Below are 18,989 nucleotides of genomic sequence, written 5' to 3' on the forward strand. Positions count from 1 at the left end.
AGTTTGTTTTTCTCTCTCTGCTCTCTGTTGCCTCACTCCCATCATGATGGAAAACTCGTAAGTGAATCATAAGTGAATACCACCCACCCTGTGAGACAAAGCCCCTCCCGTGGCCCCGCACACCCCCTTTAGCTCCAGGTTCTCTGTCCCCACTCACAGCGGCGCTCCAAGCCCCACTGTCTTCACTGTCTTTGCTTTCTTTCCTTACATTCCGTGTTTTAAATAAACTTTTGATTTGGGACAATTTAGTGGGAAAAGCTGCACACAGAGTCCCCGCATCCTCCTCACCCTCTCAGTTCCTCTGATGTGGGCACCTCCCATGGTGTGGCACGTGAGACCTGCACCCCTCTCACCCTCTCCGTTCCCCTGATGTGGGCACCTCCCATGGCATGGCACATGAGACCCGCATCCCTCTCACCCTCTCCGTTCCCCTGATGTGGGCACCTCCCATGGCATGGCACATGAGACCCGCATCCCTCTCACCCTCTCGGTTCCCCTGATGTGGGCATCTCCCATGGTGTGGCACATGAGACCCGCATCCCTCTCACCCTCTCGGTTCCCCTGATGTGGGCATCTCCCATGGTGTGGCACATGAGACCTGCATCCCTCCCACTTTCTCGGTTCCCCTGATGTGGGCACCTCCCATGGCGTGGCACCTGGTGGGGCACAGGAGAAGCCCACCCTGGTGCATGCCCGCCGTGCACTCGCTCCAGCTGGGTCTGGCCAGGGTATCTGGCCGGTAGCCAAGAGAGGTGGGTGATGAGGGTGAATCCAGGCAGTGCCAGGCCCTGTCTAAGCAGCCCCACTCTGCCCCTTGAGTAGGTGGTCCTGGCCAGGAGACACTGCAGGGTGGACACTGTCCCCACCCCGTTCAGGTGTCCCTCCCACTCCTGGTCCCAGTCATCCACACAAACCTGATGCTGACTTGTGTCTCCTCCCTCGGGGGCCCCCAAGGATGAGTGTCCCATGGTGTCCACGCCTGTGAGGACCACAGCCAGGCATCCTGACGTGAGCCTGGGAGAAGCATCACTCTTATTTCTTTTGGATGACAAAAGGCGTTGCTTGCACCTTTTCCCCCGCAGTGGTCTTTCCTCAAACAGTGGTCTCCTGGCCAGCCTGCTCCTGGCCTCCTGGGCGGGTCTGCAACAGGCAGGACCACACGCTGGTGGGCTCCTGTGGCTGGAACCAGCCTCCTCTCTCCGAGGCAGCCACTGGTGGATGCGCAGGGTCCTGGGCCCAGTATCTCTTTCCCATCACCCCATTAAGGTGTTCTAAAGACAATCATGCCTCCTCTGCTGACCCTGAGGCCCTGCAGAATAAGCAAAGAGCCGCCCCCAGAGCTGCTGCCCATCCCTGAGACTGGCAATTTCCATGGGTGAGGGGGAAGCTGATGGGGACAATGATGTCAAAGAAAATAGAAAATAGCATTTCTGGGGAGTCATCCACCTGCAGGGGAAGGGCCCACGCTTCTCCCATCCCTTGTCACTTGCCTGACGTGCCCTCCCAACTCCAGTTGACTTCTGGCTGATAGGAATATATTGCCATTAAAAGTAACGGCACAACCCAGCAAAGCTAGGGTGGTCCTGCTGGCTCCTCCGATTAGCAGGAAATAAGGTTGGGAGAAGGACACAAGTTCATATGGAAATGAAATCAAACCCAGCACCACGTGGCGGCAGAGGGATCTCTTTCTTAACCCCGTCCCCGGCGCTGTTTCAATATTACATTTTTTCCTTGGGTTCTGGAAAATGAAACACCTTCTGCCCATTATGCTCTGAAATCGAGCACATTTGGGGACAGCAGGCTGCGGGGATGAGAGCAGGCATGGCAGCTGTGCGGTGTTGCTTCCCCCAGCCTTCCCCGCAAGGCCAGTGCCCCTAATTTTCAGTGCAGGAGGAAGCAGAGCCTATCTTCACATTTACCTTCCCTCTGAAAGTGCGTTTGTGTCAGTGCCCTGATTACAGGGCCTCTGATGTGTGAGGACACTGGGTTCGGAGGTGTCCCTGGGCCTGGGGGGACATGAGCGCATAAAGCCGTCGGTGGGATGCTGACTGTGTGGGAGGTGCTCGCATGAACATAGATTATCTCTAAACCTCACAGGAGGCTTAGACATCATCTATGCTTCCAGAAGCTCCAGTTGACAGAGGCCGGAGTGTGGGAGTTCGCAACATGCATAATCACATCAGCCAGTTCTCAGGATAAATACTCTGTTTTCTCTGTGTCTATTTATCTCTTTATCTACCTCCCCATACCTCTATCTCTATGTCGCTGTCTCTTTCTATCCTTATTCCTGTCCTTTTCTCTAGCTCCATCATTGTCTCCCTCCCATTCCTATCCTTACCTCCATCTCTATCCCTAACCCTATTCCTAGTGCTATCCCTGTCTGTCTAATGCCCACTTCCCTGGCCTGGGTGATGGCGCAGGTGGTATCCACCGTGGTGACAGCAGCTACACCTAAGCCAAGAGGTGTAGGCAGAGTCACTGCCCTGTTTTTAAGGGTTGGTAGGAATCGAGTTTTAGCATTAATGCATAATTTTTCAGTTAGTTGTATTAGTTACGTAACTGAGGGCTCGTTTCTCATAGTGACGAGCACAGTTCTTAAAAGTCCAATCCAGTGAGTTTTGACACAACTGAACCTCAGTAGCACACGTCACAACCAAAATCAGGAAGATGTCACCTCCCTGAAAGCTTCCTTGTGCCACCTCCTGCGGTACCCATTGCCCTGCTGCCCATCTCCATTGACTGGCCTCGCCTGTCCAGAAACTTTATAGAAATGGAACAGGGTTAGGGTGTGTGCTTGATTTCAGTAGCTGCTTTTACTCGGTGTAATGCTTCTGAGACGCCTCTGTGTGATCAGGTCTAAGTGGCTGGATTTGTATTGCTGAGTGATATTCCCGTGGATGAAGAGTCCACAGTTTGTTTATAAAACAAAGTCACCTGTTGAGTGTTTAAATTGTTTCCAGTCTGAGACTCTTATGAAAAAGCTGCTATGAATATTTTTATGCCGATGTTTCTGTGAACCTGCTTTCATTTTATCCAAATACATACCTAGGTGTAGGGTCCAGCCCTACGGGGCTTAGTGGGTGTTCTCCCCGTGTGCGGAGACGAGAGACTGTAATAAAGACACAAGACAAAGAGATAAAGAGAAAACAGCTGGGCCCCGGGGGACCACTACCATCAAGACGCGGAGACTGGTAGTGGCCCCAAAGGGCTGGGCGCGTTGATATTTATTGCATACAAGACAAGGGGGCAGGGTAAGAAGGGTGAATCTTCTGAGTGATTGACAAGGTGAAGCAAGTCACGTGATTACAGGATAGGGGGCCCTTCCTTTTTAGGTAGCCGAAGCAGAGAGAGAAGGCAGCATACGTCAGCGTTTTCTTCTATGCACTTATAAGAAAGATCAAAGACTTTAAGACTTTCACTATTTCTTCTACTGCTATCTACTACGAACTTCAAAGAGGAACCAGGAGTACGGGAGGAGCATGAAAGTGGACAAGGAGCGTGACCATTGAAGCACCACGGGGAGGGGGTTAGGCCTCCGGATGACTGCGGGCAGGCCTGGATAATATCCAGCCTTCCACAAGAAGCTGGTGGAGCAGAGTGTTCCCTGACTCCTTCAAAGAAAGGAGACTGCCTTTCGCAGTCTGCTAAGTAAAGGGTGGCTTCCCAGGCACTGAGTTACTGCTTGACCAAGGAGCCCTCAAGCGGCCCTTATGCGGGCGTGACAGAAGGCTCACCTCTTGCCTTCTAGGTCACTTCTCACAATGTCCCTTCAGCACCTGACCCTATACCCGCCGGTTATTCCTAGGTTATATTAGTGATGCAACAAAGAGTAATATTAAAAGCTAATGATTAATAATGTTTATAATGATTGATAATTCTTCATGGTCATCTCTATATCTAATTTGTATTATGACTATTCTTATTCTAATTATTTTCTTTATTATACTGAAACAGTTTGTGCCTCAGTCTCTTGCCTTGGCACCTAGGTAATCCTCCGCCCACACCTAGGAGTAGAATTTGAGAATCATGAAGTAGAGACGTGTGTTACACTGTGAGAAACAACAAAACATCTTCCAAAGTGATTGCGCCAGGAACCACGCAGGGGTGCCTGTTCCAGCTCCTCGGTAATTTTGCCCACGCTGCACGCTGCCAGTCTTTTCAATTTCAACCATCCTAGTGGGAAACACCTGGCATGTGTGTGTCCCCCCGTGATTAATGACGCCAGCAACTTGGCATGTGCCTTTTGGCTATTTGTGTATTTTCTTTTGTGAAGTGTTTCTATACATTTTTGTCAATTTGTTTGGACTGTTTTCTTCTTCTGGAATTGTAGGAGCTATTTTTTTCCTATCTATTTTGGATCTGTGTCCTTTGTCAGATATGTGCACTGTGAATATTTTCTTCCCATGTCTTGCTTTTTCATTTTCTTAGAGGTGTCTTTTGTCGAGCAGATGCTTTAATTATGATAAAGACCAATTTTATCAGTTTTCTGTGGTTAGGCTTTCTGCGTCTCATCTAAGAAACATATGCCTATCTCAAGATGATGAATTATTCTTCTATGTTCTCTTCTAGAAGTTTAATGGTTTTGCTGCTTATGCATAAGTCTGTGATGAATCTTGAATTACTTTTTGTGTATAGTGTGAGGCAGGCATAAGATATTTCTAATGATAACTCACCTGCTCCAGCACCATCTCCCTTCCCCACTGAATTTCACCAGGATCTTTGTTTCACATCTATTGACCAAGAAGTTCTGTATCCATTTCTGGACATCTTATTCTGCCCGTTGGCTTTTCTTTCTGCACACTGACACTGCGCTGTCTCGATTCCTGGTGATTTATAGTAAGCCTGGACTAAGGTACTGAAGTCCTGCAACTTCTGTCTTTCTTTGAAAGTTTGCTTTGGCTGTTCTAAGTCATTTCCATTTTTTTATGAATCTGCTTGTAAATTCCTCCAAAGAGATTCTGCTTGGACTTCTGTTGAGATTGATTTTAAGCTATAAATCTATTTGGGGGGAACTAACATCTTATAAACATCGAGTCTTCCAATATGAACATGATGTATTTTCCTTTTATTTGTGTCTTCTTTCACTGTTAATAATGTTGTCATTTTGATTGTAGAGGTCTTGCATATCTCTCTTTAAATGTATTCTGAAGCATGTTACGTTTTCAAATGTAAATAATATTTTTAAATTTTCATTTATTCTTTTTCCTAATGTATAGAAGTACGATTGAATGTGTTTATAAATGTAACTCGTAAGGCTGCTAAATTTGCTTACAGTTGTGATTGTGTTGATTGATTTTTAAGTTCTTAGTTATGACGTATTATTCTTATAAATATTGGAATATCTAATTTGCTAGTATTTTTGTTAAGCATTTTCTAATCTATGTTCATTAGGGATGCTGCTCCAACTTCATTTCCTTATAATATCTTCACCAGGTTTAGGTACCAGGATTGTGCTGGCCTTATAGATTAAGTGTGTAATCTTAAATCTATGAGGAAGTGTGTAATTGTTCATTCTTTGAAAAGATTTCTTTTTTCTTTTTTCTTTTTTTTTTTAGAGGAAGTCTCACTCTGTCGCCCAGGCTGGAGTCCAGTGGCACGATCTTGGCTCACTCCAGCCTCCGCCTTCCGGGTTCAAGCGATTCTCCTGCCTCGGCCTCCTGAGTAGCTGGGATTGCAGGGATGTGCCACCATGCCTGGCTAATTTTTGTATTTTTTTTTAGTAGAGATGGGGTTTCACCATGTTGGTCAGGCCGGTCTTCAACTCCTGACCTCGTGATCCGCCCGTCTCAGCCTCCCAAATTGCTGGGATTATGATTGGTATTTTTTTCCTTAAATCTGTGACCAAATTCCCAAAAAAGTATAACTTTCTGAAATCTTTCATTGTGGTTGAAGTCTCCCCCCGCTACCCAGGTTCTGAAATCTTTCATTGTGATTGAAGTCTCCCCCTTCACCCGCCCCAGATTCTGAAATCTTCCATTGTGGTTGAAGTTTCCCCCCAGATTCTGAAATCTTTCACTGTGGTTGAAGTCTCTCCCTGAGATTCTGAAATCTTTCATTGTGGTTGAAGTCTCCCCCTGAGATTCTGAAATCTTTCATTGTGTTTGAAGTCTCCCCCTGAGATTCTGAAATCTTTCATTGTGGTTGAAGTCTCCCCCCAGATTCTGAAATCTTTCATTGTGGTTGAAGTCTCCCCTCCCGACCCAGATTCTGAAATCTTTCATTGTGGTTGAAGTCTCCCCCCCCCACACCCAGGTTCTGAAATTTTTCATTGTGGTTGAAGTCTCCCCCCAGATTCTGAAATCTTTCACTGTGATTGAAGTCTCCCCATGAGATTCTGAAATCTTTCATTGTGGTTGAAGTCTCCCCCTGAGATTCTGAAATCTTTCATTGTGGTTGAAGTCTCCCCCTGAGATTCTGAAATCTTTCATTGTGGTTGAAGTCTCCCCCCACCACACCGAGGTTCTGAAATCTTTCATTGTGGTTGAAGACTCCCCCCGCTACCCAGGTTCTGAAATCTTTCATTGTGGTTGAAGTCTCCCACCCAAGATTCTGAAATCTTTCATTCTGGTTGAAGTCTCCCCCCGCTACCCAGGTTCTGAAATCTTTCAAGGTGGTTGAAGTCTCCCCGCCCACACCCAGGTTCTGAAATCTTTCATTGTGGTTGAAGTCTCCCCCTGAGATTCTGAAATCTTTCATTGTGGTTGAAGTCTCCCCACTCCCCCGCCCAGATTCTGAAATCTTTCATTGTGGTTGAAGTCTCCCATGCAAGATTCTGAAATCTTTCATTGTGGTTGAAGTCTCCCCCCCCACACCCAGGTTCTGAAATTTTTCATTGTGGTTGAAGTCTCCCCCCAGATTCTGAAATCTTTCACTGTGATTGAAGTCTCCCCCTGAGATTCTGAAATCTTTCATTGTGGTTGAAGTCTCCCCCTGAGATTCTGAAATCTTTCATTGTGGTTGAAGTCTCCCCCTGAGATTCTGAAATCTTTCATTGTGGTTGAAGTCTCCCCCCACCACACCGAGGTTCTGAAATCTTTCATTGTGGTTGAAGACTCCCCCCGCTACCCAGGTTCTGAAATCTTTCATTGTGGTTGAAGTCTCCCACCCAAGATTCTGAAATCTTTCATTCTGGTTGAAGTCTCCCCCCGCTACCCAGGTTCTGAAATCTTTCATGGTGGTTGAAGTCTCCCCGCCCACACCCAGGTTCTGAAATCTTTCATTGTGGTTGAAGTTTCCCCCTGAGATTCTGAAATCTTTCATTGTGGTTGAAGTCTCCCCACTCCCCCGCCCAGATTCTGAAATCTTTCATTGTGGTTGAAGTCTCCCATGCAAGATTCTGAAATCTTTCATTGTGGTTGAAGTCTCCCCCCGCTACCCAGGTTCTGAAATCTTTCATTGTGGTTGAAGTCTCCCCCCAGATTCTGAAATCTTTCATTGTGGCTGAAGTCTCCCCCTCAAGATTCTGAAATCTTTCTTTGTGATTGAAGTCTCCCCCCAGATTCTGAAATCTTTCATTGTGGTTGAAGTCTCCCCCTGAGATTCTGAAATCTTTCATTGTGGTTGAAGTCTCCCCCCGCCACCCAGGTTCTGAAATCTTTCATTGTGGTTGAAGTCTCCCCCCAGATTCGGAAATCTTTCATTGTGGTTGAAGTCTCCCCCTGAGATTCTGAAGTCTTTCATTGTGATTGAAGTCTCCCCCCCTCACACCCAGGTTCTGAAATCTTTCATTGTGATTAAAGTCTCCCCCCGCTACCCAGGTTCTGAAATCTTTCATTGTGGTTGAAGTCTCCCCCTGAGATTCTGAAATCTTTCACTGTGGTTGAAGTCTCCCCCCCCCACACCCAGGTTCTGAAATCTTTCATTGTCTTTGAAGTCTCCCCCTGCTACCCAGGTTCTGAAATCTTTCATTCTGGTTGAAGTCTCCCCCCATATTCTGAAATCTTTCATTGAGGTTGAAGTCTCCCCCCAGATTCTGAAATCTTTCACTGTGGTTGAAGTCTCCCCCCTCCCCCGCCCTTGATTCTGAAATGTTTCATTGTGGTTGAAGTCTCCCCCCTCCCCCCAGATTCTGAAATCTTTAATTGTGGTTGAAGTCTCCCCCCAGATTCTGAAATCTTTCACTGTGGTTGAAGTCTCCCCCTGAGATTCTGAAATCTTTCATTGTGGTTGAAATCTCCCCCCCCCGCCACACCGAGGTTCTGAAATCTTTCTTTGTGGTTGAAGTCTCCCCCCGCTACCCAGGTTCTCAAATCTTTCATTGTGGTTGAAGTCTCCCCACCCAGATTCTGAAATCTTTCATTGTGGTTGAAGTCTCCCCACCCAGATTCTGAAATCTTTCACTGTGGTTGAAGTCTCCCCCCTCCCCCGCCCCAGATTCTGAAATCTTTCATTGTGGTTGAAGTCTCCCCCCAGGTTCTGAAATCTTTCACTGTGGTTGAAGTCTCCCCCGAGATTCTGAAATCTTTCATTGTGGTTGAAGTCTTCCCCCCAGATTTTTCATTTCTTCTTTTGTGAATTTTGCTAAGTTAGGCTTTTTATGTATTTTTCCACTTTAGCTAAGTTGTGAGATTATTGATATGAAGTTGTTTCTATTATTTGTTATCCTTTTAATGTATGGCTGAGTCCCTTTGTTCCTGATAATTTGTTTTTTCTTTGTTTGTTATCTATTGATCTAGTTAGAAGTTTATCACATGTAATAATCTTTTCAAATAATCACCTTCTGAATATTTATATTCTTCTATTTTCTCTTTTATCTATTTCTCCTGAAATCTTTATTCTTTTCTTTTTAATTCAGTAATTCATTTGTTCATTAGTAAACAATGCTTTTGCACATCTAGGTCCACGTTGACAGTAGTCAAATGTGGGGATGTTTTACAGAATATATAATCGCAGCCTTTACATTCTGCTATTGCAAAGATTGACCTTATTGGGTCCAGCAATATTCCCCAACCATTGGGCTAAAAACTGATTAGCTTACCTACTAGTTACCTACCAGATTATTTTTGATGCCTTTGATAGGAGTTCTGTATGCAGTTTTAATACATTTTGCTTTATTTTTATTTTCATTTTTATTTTCATTTTTTTCTACTTCCCCTGGTTTAATTCGCTTTACCACATAACTCCTTAAGGCAGAATTATATATGACTGAAATCATGAATCTCTTATTTTTTAAACTTAAAATATAAATCTATAAATTTCCTTCTAAGCTACTGTTATCTGTATCTTCTACAATTTTATATGTCTGGTATTCATTATCATTTTTTTTTCCTAATAATCCTTGTGGTTCCCCTCTCTAACCCATGAATTACATAGAAGTGAGTTATTTAATTTTCAAATATATGAGTGTTTTATGTAACAATTTTTTTATTGATTTCTATTTCAATTCCCTTGTGATTAGAAAATATAATTTGTACAATTTCAGTCTTTTGAACTTCACTGAGACATGTTTCAAGGCTCAGCTTATGGTGAATTTGGAAGTTTATCCTGTGAGCGCTTAAAATCGTGCGTATCCCACAGTTTGGGTTTGCAGTGTTCCACAAGTGCCAATTAGTCGAAGTGGGTTGACAGAGCTAGTCACATCTTCTTTACCTCACTCATTTTTCTACTGTTATTTTCATATTTTTGATCTATTAATTTCCAAGAGAGGACTATTAAAACCTCCCTCTGTAATTGTGGATCTATTTTCTTTCTTAATTCTGTTGTTTTTTTGCTTCGGGTATTTAAAGCACTTTTTCTCTCTCTCTGCGTGCACTTTAAAAACTACTGTTTTTGAATGAATTTATTTTTCATTTTAAAATGTTCCTCCTTTTATCTGATACTACTTCTTGTCTTAAAGTCCGCTTTGAATGCAGCCACTCGTGTTTTCATTGTGCATCTTCGACTCGTTTTTACTTTTTATTAATTTATCTGGCTCTTTGTATTTAAATTGTATGTCTTATAAACAGAATACAATTACGTCTTTCTTTTCATCCATCCTGTCGCCGACTTAATTAGAGCACTTAGACCATTTATACATAAAGTTATACTTGATTTGATTTGCCTACTATCTTTTTGTTTTCAATGTATCCCATATGTTCTTGGTTCTATCTTTGTCGCTTTATTCTTGATTGATTATATTTTACTGCTCTTTTCCTTCTTCCACTGACTTATTTTTGTTGTTTGATTCCATTGGTTGCCCAATTTCACTGGCAAACCAAAAATAACCATTTATTTTAGTTTCATTACATTACAATATGTTTAATATGCAATAAATGCATCATTTCAAGGTATATAAATCTATAAATTTTGTTACCATCACAATCAGGACATGTGACATTTGTAACAGCTCCAAAAGTTACTCTTGCCTTCCAGTAACTTCACACCCCCTCCACAGCACCCATCACGCAGTTCTCCTTTTGCTCTCTAGCTTTGACCCTTCTAGAATTCTTTCATTTGGTATTGGTTTTGTGTCTGACTTCCTTCACTTAACATAATGATACAGAGATTTATCCATGCTGTAGTGTGGCATTGGTAAATATTGTTACTCTGTTTTATTGCAGACTAGTATTCCTTAGTACAGATATACCACAACGTGTGTATGTATGCATCAGTTGAAGAGCATTTTTTACAGCTATTTTGAATAAAGCTGCATGAATATTCATGTGCAAGCCTTTATGTGGGTGTACGTTTTCACTTTTCTTAGATAAATACCGAAGATGGAAATTATTAAGTCATGTGACAACGTGTCCTGAGCTTTACAAAAAACTGCTGAACCCTTTTCCAAATTGCCTGTCTCACTTTGCATTTCTGCTAGCAACGTATGAAAATTCTAATTTCTTCACATCCTTAGTAATACTTGGTATCTTCAGTCTTTTAAATTTCAACCATTCTAATGGGCATGAAGTGGTATCTCATTGTAGTTTTAATTTGCATTCTTCTAAAGTTGAATGAAGTTGAGCATCTTTTCATATGCTTATTAACCCCATGTTTACCTTCTTCAGTATAGCATCTGTTCACATGTTTTGCCCATTTCTTAAATGTTTTGTTTGACATCTTATTACTGAGTGTGAGAGTTCTGCAAATATTCTGGATACAAGGCTTTTATATTTGCTTTTTCAACTATTTTGTGAAAAACCAGTCTGTGGTTTGCCTTTTCAGTTTCTTGGGTGGTTTGAAGAGCAAACATTTTAATTTTGATGAAATCTCACTTATTGTTTTTTAAAAATTCTGTAGTTCAAGTTTCTAATAGCTTATTAATAAATACTTGCTTAAAATGCTTCTATATTCAAAATATTGGTGGTTTTAACGTTTGGTTCTATTATCTATTTCAAGTTAATTTGTGCATATTGTGTGAAGTCAGGGTTGTAGTTCACCATGTTGCATACGAATATACATTATTTGCAGCACTATTTGTTCAAAATATTGTGCTTTCCTATTAAATTATCGACACCTTTGTCAAAAATCAATTGACCATATTTCTTAGGGTCAGTTTCTGGACTTCTATTGGAAGTCCTTTAGCCTTATCTCAACTGGCTGGAACAAGTTGGAGCCATCTTGGAATATGCACATTCAAACCTTTGACCAGGGGATGATACGCTTTTTATGGATTTAGGAAATTTGGAAGAACTTCTCTATTCCCCACACCCTGCGTACCTAGATCCACTGCGTACCTAGATCCCTGCGTACTTAGAGCCCTGCGTACCTAGATCCCTGTGAACCTAGATCCACTGTGTATCTAGATCCCTGCGTGCCTAGATCCCTGCGTACCTAGATCCCTGCGTACCTAGATCCCTGCGTACCTAGATCCCTGCATACTTAGAGCCCTGCATACCTAGATCCCTGTGAACCTAGACCCACTGTGTATCTAGATCCCTGCATACCTAGATCCACTGCATACCTAGATCCCTATATACCTAGGTTCACTGTGTACCTAGATCCCTGTGTGCCTAGATCCCTGCATACCTAGATCCCTGAGTACCTAGATCCCTGCGTACTTAGAGCCCTGCGTACCTAGATCCCTGTGAACCTAGATCCACTGTGTATCTAGATCCCTGTGTACCTAGATCCCTGCATACCTAGATCCCTGCGTACCTAGATCCCTGCATACTTAGATCCCTGCGTACCTAGATCCCTGTGAACCTAGACCCACTGTGTATCTAGATCCCTGCGTACCTAGATCCCTGCGTACCTAGATCCCTGCGTACCTAGATCCCTGCATACTTAGAGCCCTGCGTACCTAGATCCCTGTGAACCTAGATCCACTGTGTATCTAGATCCCTGTGTACCTAGATCCCTGCGTACCTAGATCCCTGCATACCTAGATCCCTGCGTACCTAGATCCCTGCATACTTAGAGCCCTGTGTACCTAGATCCCTGTGAACCTAGACCCACTGTGTATCTAGATCCCTGCGTACCTATATCCACTGCATACCTAGATCCCTACATACCTAGGTTCACTGCGTACCTAGATCCCCGTGTACCTAGATCCACTGCGTACCTAGATCCCTACATACCTAGATCCACTGCGTACCTAGATCCCTACGTACCTAGATCCGCTGCATTGGAATGATGCCCTGTCTACAGACAAACGTCCTGTCTTCCCCCTTGGTGTTGAATTGCGTGTTGATCTGCTTGTGTTTGAAGAGCATTTCTGGAGCCAGTGCCCTGGCCTCACCACTGGATATTCTATCTTGGGCAGCTGTTGCCTCTTTAAACACCAGTTTCCTCACTTCTAAAATAGGGTAAAATGATAATACCTACTTTGTTATGCCACTGGAAAGATTAAAGGAGAGAATGTATGTGTCATTTACATAAGATAAATACTCAGTAGACACCCACTCATTCACTTAGTAAATGTTTATTGCAGGTCATCATGTGCCGAGCGCTGGAAGTACTCTGAAAAACGTGTCCTTACTCATGTGACACTTTCCTTTTAATTGGGACGAAAGCCAGGAAACATGTGAGTCTTTTAATGATGAGATGTGAAAAAAAAAAATAAAGCCTCATATCTGGAAAGGTGGCACTGGCAATAGCAGCATAGTTTTAGCATTTTCCCCACATCCTACACAAAATTAGAGTAATTAGATTTTTTTTTTTAATGGAAGGAGGCTTCGAATATTGAAGAAGGCACATCTGGGAGCAGAGACCCAGGGACAGCCTGGCCCGGGCCTGGGCACCCCACCAGCACTGAATTCTTAAAGAGAACTTGGAAAACTCTAAGGTAGGCACACCCCAAAGCCAGCCTTGCCTGCCGAGATCTGAGGGTTGAACAGGCCTAGAACCTCCTGACAGCCCAGAGAGTGAGGAAGCCATCAAAGACTCAGGAGCCAACTCGAAGGGACCCCACTGGCCGATGATGATGTGATTTATGCCCCAACCAGGATGAGGACTGCAGTTGATTGAAACCCATCATGTCTGCTTGAATCATTCAAATCATGGCATTAGAACAAAATGCACAGAGCACCTGGTGGATACAGAAAAAGATTCATTATCTTAAAAATTAGATACCTCAAGTGAATCATCCAGCACTGATCTGCAGAGAACCAACTCTGTGGCCTGTATCACAGAATAACTGCATGTGGCTGCAAGGAAGAGTCTCCTTATAAAACTTTTTCGGGCCGGACATGGTGGCTTATGCCTGTAATGCTAGCACTTTGGGAGGCCAAGGTAGGTGAGTTGCTTGAGCCCATGAGGTTGAGACCAGAGTGGGCAACATGGCAAAACCCTGTCTCTATCAAAAATAAAAAAAATTAGGGCCGGGCACGGTGGCTCACGCCTGTAATCCCAGCACTCTGAGGCTGAGGTGGGCAGATCACGAGATCAGGAGATCGAGACCATCCTGGCTAACTCGGTGAAATCCCGTCTCTACTGGGGAAAAAAAAAAAAAAAAAAAAAAAAAATTAGCCGGGCGTGTTGGCAGGCGCCTGTAATCCAGCCTGGGCAACAAAGTGAGACTCTGTCTCAAAAACAAAAATGTATTGAGCTGTTAAAGGAAAATAAAACAGTAGTATTAGGATACTTTCCAGTGAATTGTAACATCTCGGTGTGGAACGTCCATAACTGCTAGAATGAAAACAGCACCTCTTCGTGGGAGAGACACCCAGGGTTGTGCCCAAGAGGTGGACTCTGAGCCAGGGGAAGCCTCCAGGTCTGGCTGCTGATGGCCCATCCTCCACCATGAGCAACATCCAGGCGGTGGCAAACCCTCCAGCTCAAACAACCTGGTGTTTACAAAAGATAAACCTGGTGTTTACAAAAGGAAAAGAAGAGGCTCTGAGGGTAAGCTGCTGATTGAAAGAGGCTTAAGGGGTCTATCAAGCAAAACAACAAAACTGGTTAAGACTAAGCTATTGTGTCTTGGAATAAGCACTTGGCTAATAAATCCATAAAGAAATTTGAGGCAGTGGTGGCTCTACGAGTCAGGACAGCTGGGGGAGCTGTGCTGGTGCCCAGATGGGAAATGCTGGGAAGGACATTTAGGGGTAAAATGAGCCTGTGGCTTTGAGTATGACATTGAGGGGTCTGGATACTGACATGAGGATGCTGGGCTCAGCCTGATTCTGAGGAAACTGTGAGGCAGAAACTTCCTGGGGGCCGCGGCCAGGCTTTTGAGGACTTGCATCCCTCGGAGGTGCATGTGTGTGTGTGTGTGTGTGTGTGTGTGTGTGACTCCCAGGCATCTCCCGGCTGCCAGCTCCCACTGCGGAAGAGTGATCCTCCTGACGAGGGTGCAGCGGGGAGCCCCTCGCAGCTGGGGGTAAGAAGCCAGCCTTGGGCGGGCTGCCATTCAGAGCACGGTGGGGCCCGCGACAGGAGCCTCCACCACAGATGCAAGGACAATGGCCTGGGTTTCCATGGCTTCAGGACCAGCTGCCCTCGTCCGACCAAGGCGGCAGGAATCTCCCAGCTGCAGGTCAGCGGCTTCCCTGGTCCAAAGACTCATCTCTAAAGCGGCGGTTCACGCGAGCTGCAGAGTGGCTGGGGCATGTAGAGGCCTGTTCATCCCTTCATGAGCCTGGCAGCTGCTTTTTTTTTTTTTTTGAGATGGAGTCTCACTCTGTTGCCAGGCTGGAGTGCAGTGGCATGATCTCGGCTCACTGCAACCTCCGACTCCCTGGTTCAAGTGATTCTCCTGCCTCAGCCTCCCAGGTGGCTGCGATTACAGGCACGCACCACCCCGGCCAGCTAATTTTTGAGAAATACGTTATCTTAACACAGTGGAATTTAAGTCACCATAAACCTCCTTTTCAAGATGGATCAGGTTTCAGAAGTGTCCTGCGTCCTGGAGCCAGGTCCTGCCCCCTGACCCTGCTCATGCGAGGTCCTGACAGACCCTGGACATCGAGTGCCCCTGGCTCACAGATTCGGGGGACACACAAGTGGTTTCACTCCAGGCAGCGATATGGGTCCTCACACTTGAGGTCGGTGAGTTTCTGTAATGAAGCCCCTTTGGATGCAGGGCAGGCTGGACATCGAGGCCCTCCAGGCTCGGGCACCTTCCCACAGAGGAAGCACCTCTCTGGCCACGGGGCACTGGGGCCACACGATTGCCCTCTATTGCCGTTCATAGGGCCTGCCCTCTCTCACCCCTAGGAAATGTGCTCCTCCTGGTTAGGAACGGCTCTGGTAGCTCTCCACCCCCCCGGGGCAAGCCACCTCCTGGCTTGGTTACACTCCTGCTTGCTTCTGGTCCCCTCGGAGGGGCAGGGACCCAGGGTCTCTGGTGCTGTGCTGGCACAGTGACAGCCAGGCACACAGCAGGCACTCACTCTGTGAACAGGTGGTCAGGGGGTCACAGGGACACGCACAGCCTGAGGTTCTGGGGCAGGGTCTGCGCTCAGCTCCGGAGCTCCTCATCCAAGGAGGGGCAAGGGCAGGCTGGGTGCCTGGGCCCAGGGGCACTTGGGACCCATCTCAGTGGAGAGGCACTGAGGTTGAGGAGTTTCCTAAGAGAGAACTGGGTTGTGTATTTGTGTGTGTGTCCAGGAGAAAGAGAGAGAGACAGAGAGGGTTCCACTAAAACTCTCTGCTCTGAAGGGCTGCCCTGTGGAAGGAAGAGTGCAGGGGAAGGGGGAGTCCAGAGGAAAACTTGAGAGTGGACTTTTCAAGGAAAAAGATGTCCCGGAAAGAAAGACTTTGCTCTCAGCTCTGCCTGCACATACAACAGTTCTCCGGGAGTGGGAAGTGGGGAGGGTCCCTTCACTGTGGGTAGAAGAGGCAGCAAATCTGAAGCCAGTGCCAGGAGGGGGCATGGGCTGGGGGCCTTCTGAGTACTCCTGGTGGCTACAGTCATGGCGCTGCAGCTGGCCCAGAGCCCTGGGGTGCACGTGGGTGATGACATGGGGCCGGCAGGAAGGAGACATTTATTGACCCACCTGCTGCTTACTGGACATTAAACAAGCGGCTGAAATGTGTCTCATCCCAGATTGGCTGGCTTTACGGCCGTTCTGACACAGAGCAGATGGGGGCGTGTAGACGAGGCCTGCCAGATCCTGGAGGGCTCTGCACTCAGTTTCTTCTCCAAGCCATGCTGCTGGCCGGGGCCTGCTGGTCACCCACCCGTGGGAATGAAGGGGGACCACGGAGCCCCAGCTCGGGACAGGTAGGCTCTTCCAGTGGGCCTGCGAGCCCTCCTACAATCAGTGCCAGAACAAATTCAGGATGAGGACCAGTCTCCTGAACGCAGTGTGGAAGCCACCTCCTATGACTCTCTTTGTGGATTGGCTCGCATTTTATTTTGTAACAAATTCACCATCACTTTGCTCTCCCAAGGTTCTGGGTCACACAGAAATAAAAGAATAAAAGCCCATTTAACATTGTTCATAACAGCCTTTGTGATTAGGAAAATGACAGGCATTCATTCCTGCTCAATCCGCAGCTCCTAAGTCAAATTTCACAAAGGCGTTGTTGATGAATTCTGTGAATGGGGGGCTGGTGTGCCGGCTTTGCTTTCCCCATGATAAATATTCATGTGGAGACCAGAGACAAAGACATTGAGGTTCAAATCCAGGGCACGCTTGTATGCAGCCCTGAACACGCTGGATTCTGCAGAAATGCCCCGTGTGTCATAAGACATGTGAGAGCCACCGCCTCCCCTGGACTCAGTGACGAGGGCTGTGCATCAGGCACCTTGCAGGCAATACTCAGACCTGACTGCCCGCAGCCGTGGGCCTTATTGGAGGCTACAGGTGAGCTTTGAGAAGCTGGGAGAAGAAAAGACCTCTCGGTTGCTATGTGGCAGTCGCTGGGTTGTGGAGAAGGGACGCTGGTCTACAGGATGCTGGGCTCATTGCAGAAGCCCCAAACTTGAAGAATGTCAGATGCACCAGAGTCGACTACAGTCCCCTCCTCACGGGAGCCCCGAAGGAGGAGTTCCAGGTTTAGCTTTGCCATGTAAATAGTTCAGAAGTCATCACTTCCATCCTGCCAACACGAAAAAGGCTGAACAAACTGAAAATCAATGACTTTCCTTGCACCGTCTGAGAATTAAGGAGGCAGGACAAACTGCCTCCCTGCAATCTGGAAAGACAGATGGATGTGCAGAATCACAGCTGAGGCCCGATCACCTGGGCGGAAGCCACTGCAGCCTCACACGAGCGGGAACGCACACACGCTCGTTTTGATGACTTGTGAAGGCCAAGCGTGGATTGGCTGGAGAGAGAGAAACTCCTGGGGACTACAGGTTAAGGGGGACTCCACACTTGTGTGGGATCTACCTCCAGGAACCCCACCAGGTTCCTGTAGTGAAGAGCACAGGAAGCCTTTCTAATGTCTGGGCAGGAGGAGGGCCACAGAGCCTTTCTGAAACCTGCCCAGTGTTCTCCATAACAGATGCCTACTTAGCAGTCAGGAAGGAAAGCACCGAAGCCTGTGCACTTGGGGGCAGGGTGCGGGCTCACTCCAGCTCCCCCTGGGTTCTTGTCTCACTGAAGAGGGGAAGAAAGGTAGGAAACGCTTGTAGAGGACAAGCCAAAGACACAGACCCACTAAGGAAGTGAAACTTAATCATAGGATTATCAAAAGCTTCACCTCCCCGCAATTCACTGCTCCGCTGATGGGGCTTCCAGACATTGGTAGAGGATTACAGCAGAAAAGATGCAAGCTACACCCTCTCACTCTGGAGGTGAAGCCCAGGCAACTGGTAGTGAGAGGACAGACCAAAGCAAAGAATGTTCCCGGAGCCTGCAGCCCCAGCACTCACTGAACATATCTACTAGCCAGATTAGCACAAAACCTCATGCTAAAGACCGACTTACTCCAGTCCCTATTAACAGGTACATCACATATGGCTTTTTTGTTGTTGTTGCTTGTTTTTTTGAGATGGAGTCTCGCTCTGTCACCCAGGCTGGAGTGCAGTGGCGCAATCTCGGCTCACTGCAAGCTCCGCCTCCCGGGTTCACGCCATTCTCCTGCCTCAGCCTCCCGAGTAGCTGGGATTACAGGTGCCCGCCACCACGCCTGGCTAATTTTTTGTATTTTTAGTAGAGATGGGGTTTCACCGTGTTAGCCAGGATGGTCTCGATCTCCTGACCTCGTGATCCGCCCGCCTTGGCCTCCCAAAGTGCTGGGATTACAGGTGTGAGCCACCGCGCCTGGCCACATCTGGCTTTTTTAAAAGTACCAGTTTTATTAGCTAGGGTTCTCCAGCGGAAACAATTATATATACATATATTCCTTTATCCGCAGAAAGGAGTTGGCTCACACAACTCCAAAGCCTGGGAAGTCCTGGCATCGGCCGTCTGAGGCTAGACGCCCAGCAAAGCTGGTGCTGTGGCTCCAAGACCTGGGAACCAGGAGCCCCAATGTCCAAGGGGAGGAGAAGGTGGACGCCCCGGCTCACACAGGCAGACAGAGCAAACACAACCTTCCCCCACTGCTGCGTTCTCATCAGGCTGACAGTGGCTTAGTTGATGCCCACTGTGATGGTTAATTTTATATCAACTTGACTGGGCTAAGAGATGCCCAGGCAGCTGGTAAAATGTGATTTCTGGGTGTGTCTGGGACGGTGTTTC

The 18,989-nt window shown here is 46.5% G+C and overlaps 1 annotated feature.

The window, feature by feature from the left end:
• Positions 14,725–15,245: an enhancer, noted in NCBI's record as "H3K4me1 hESC enhancer chr22:49315147-49315667 (GRCh37/hg19 assembly coordinates)". NCBI's record gives its function as "activates a minimal SCP1, AML or CMV promoter by ChIP-STARR-seq in naive H9 embryonic stem cells {active_cell/tissue: H9 hESC(naive)}" and the evidence as "EXISTENCE:reporter gene assay evidence [ECO:0000049][PMID:30033119]".

This window comes from Homo sapiens, chromosome 22, assembly GCF_000001405.40.
Source record: "Homo sapiens chromosome 22, GRCh38.p14 Primary Assembly".
NCBI classification, from domain to species: domain Eukaryota; kingdom Metazoa; phylum Chordata; class Mammalia; order Primates; family Hominidae; genus Homo; species Homo sapiens.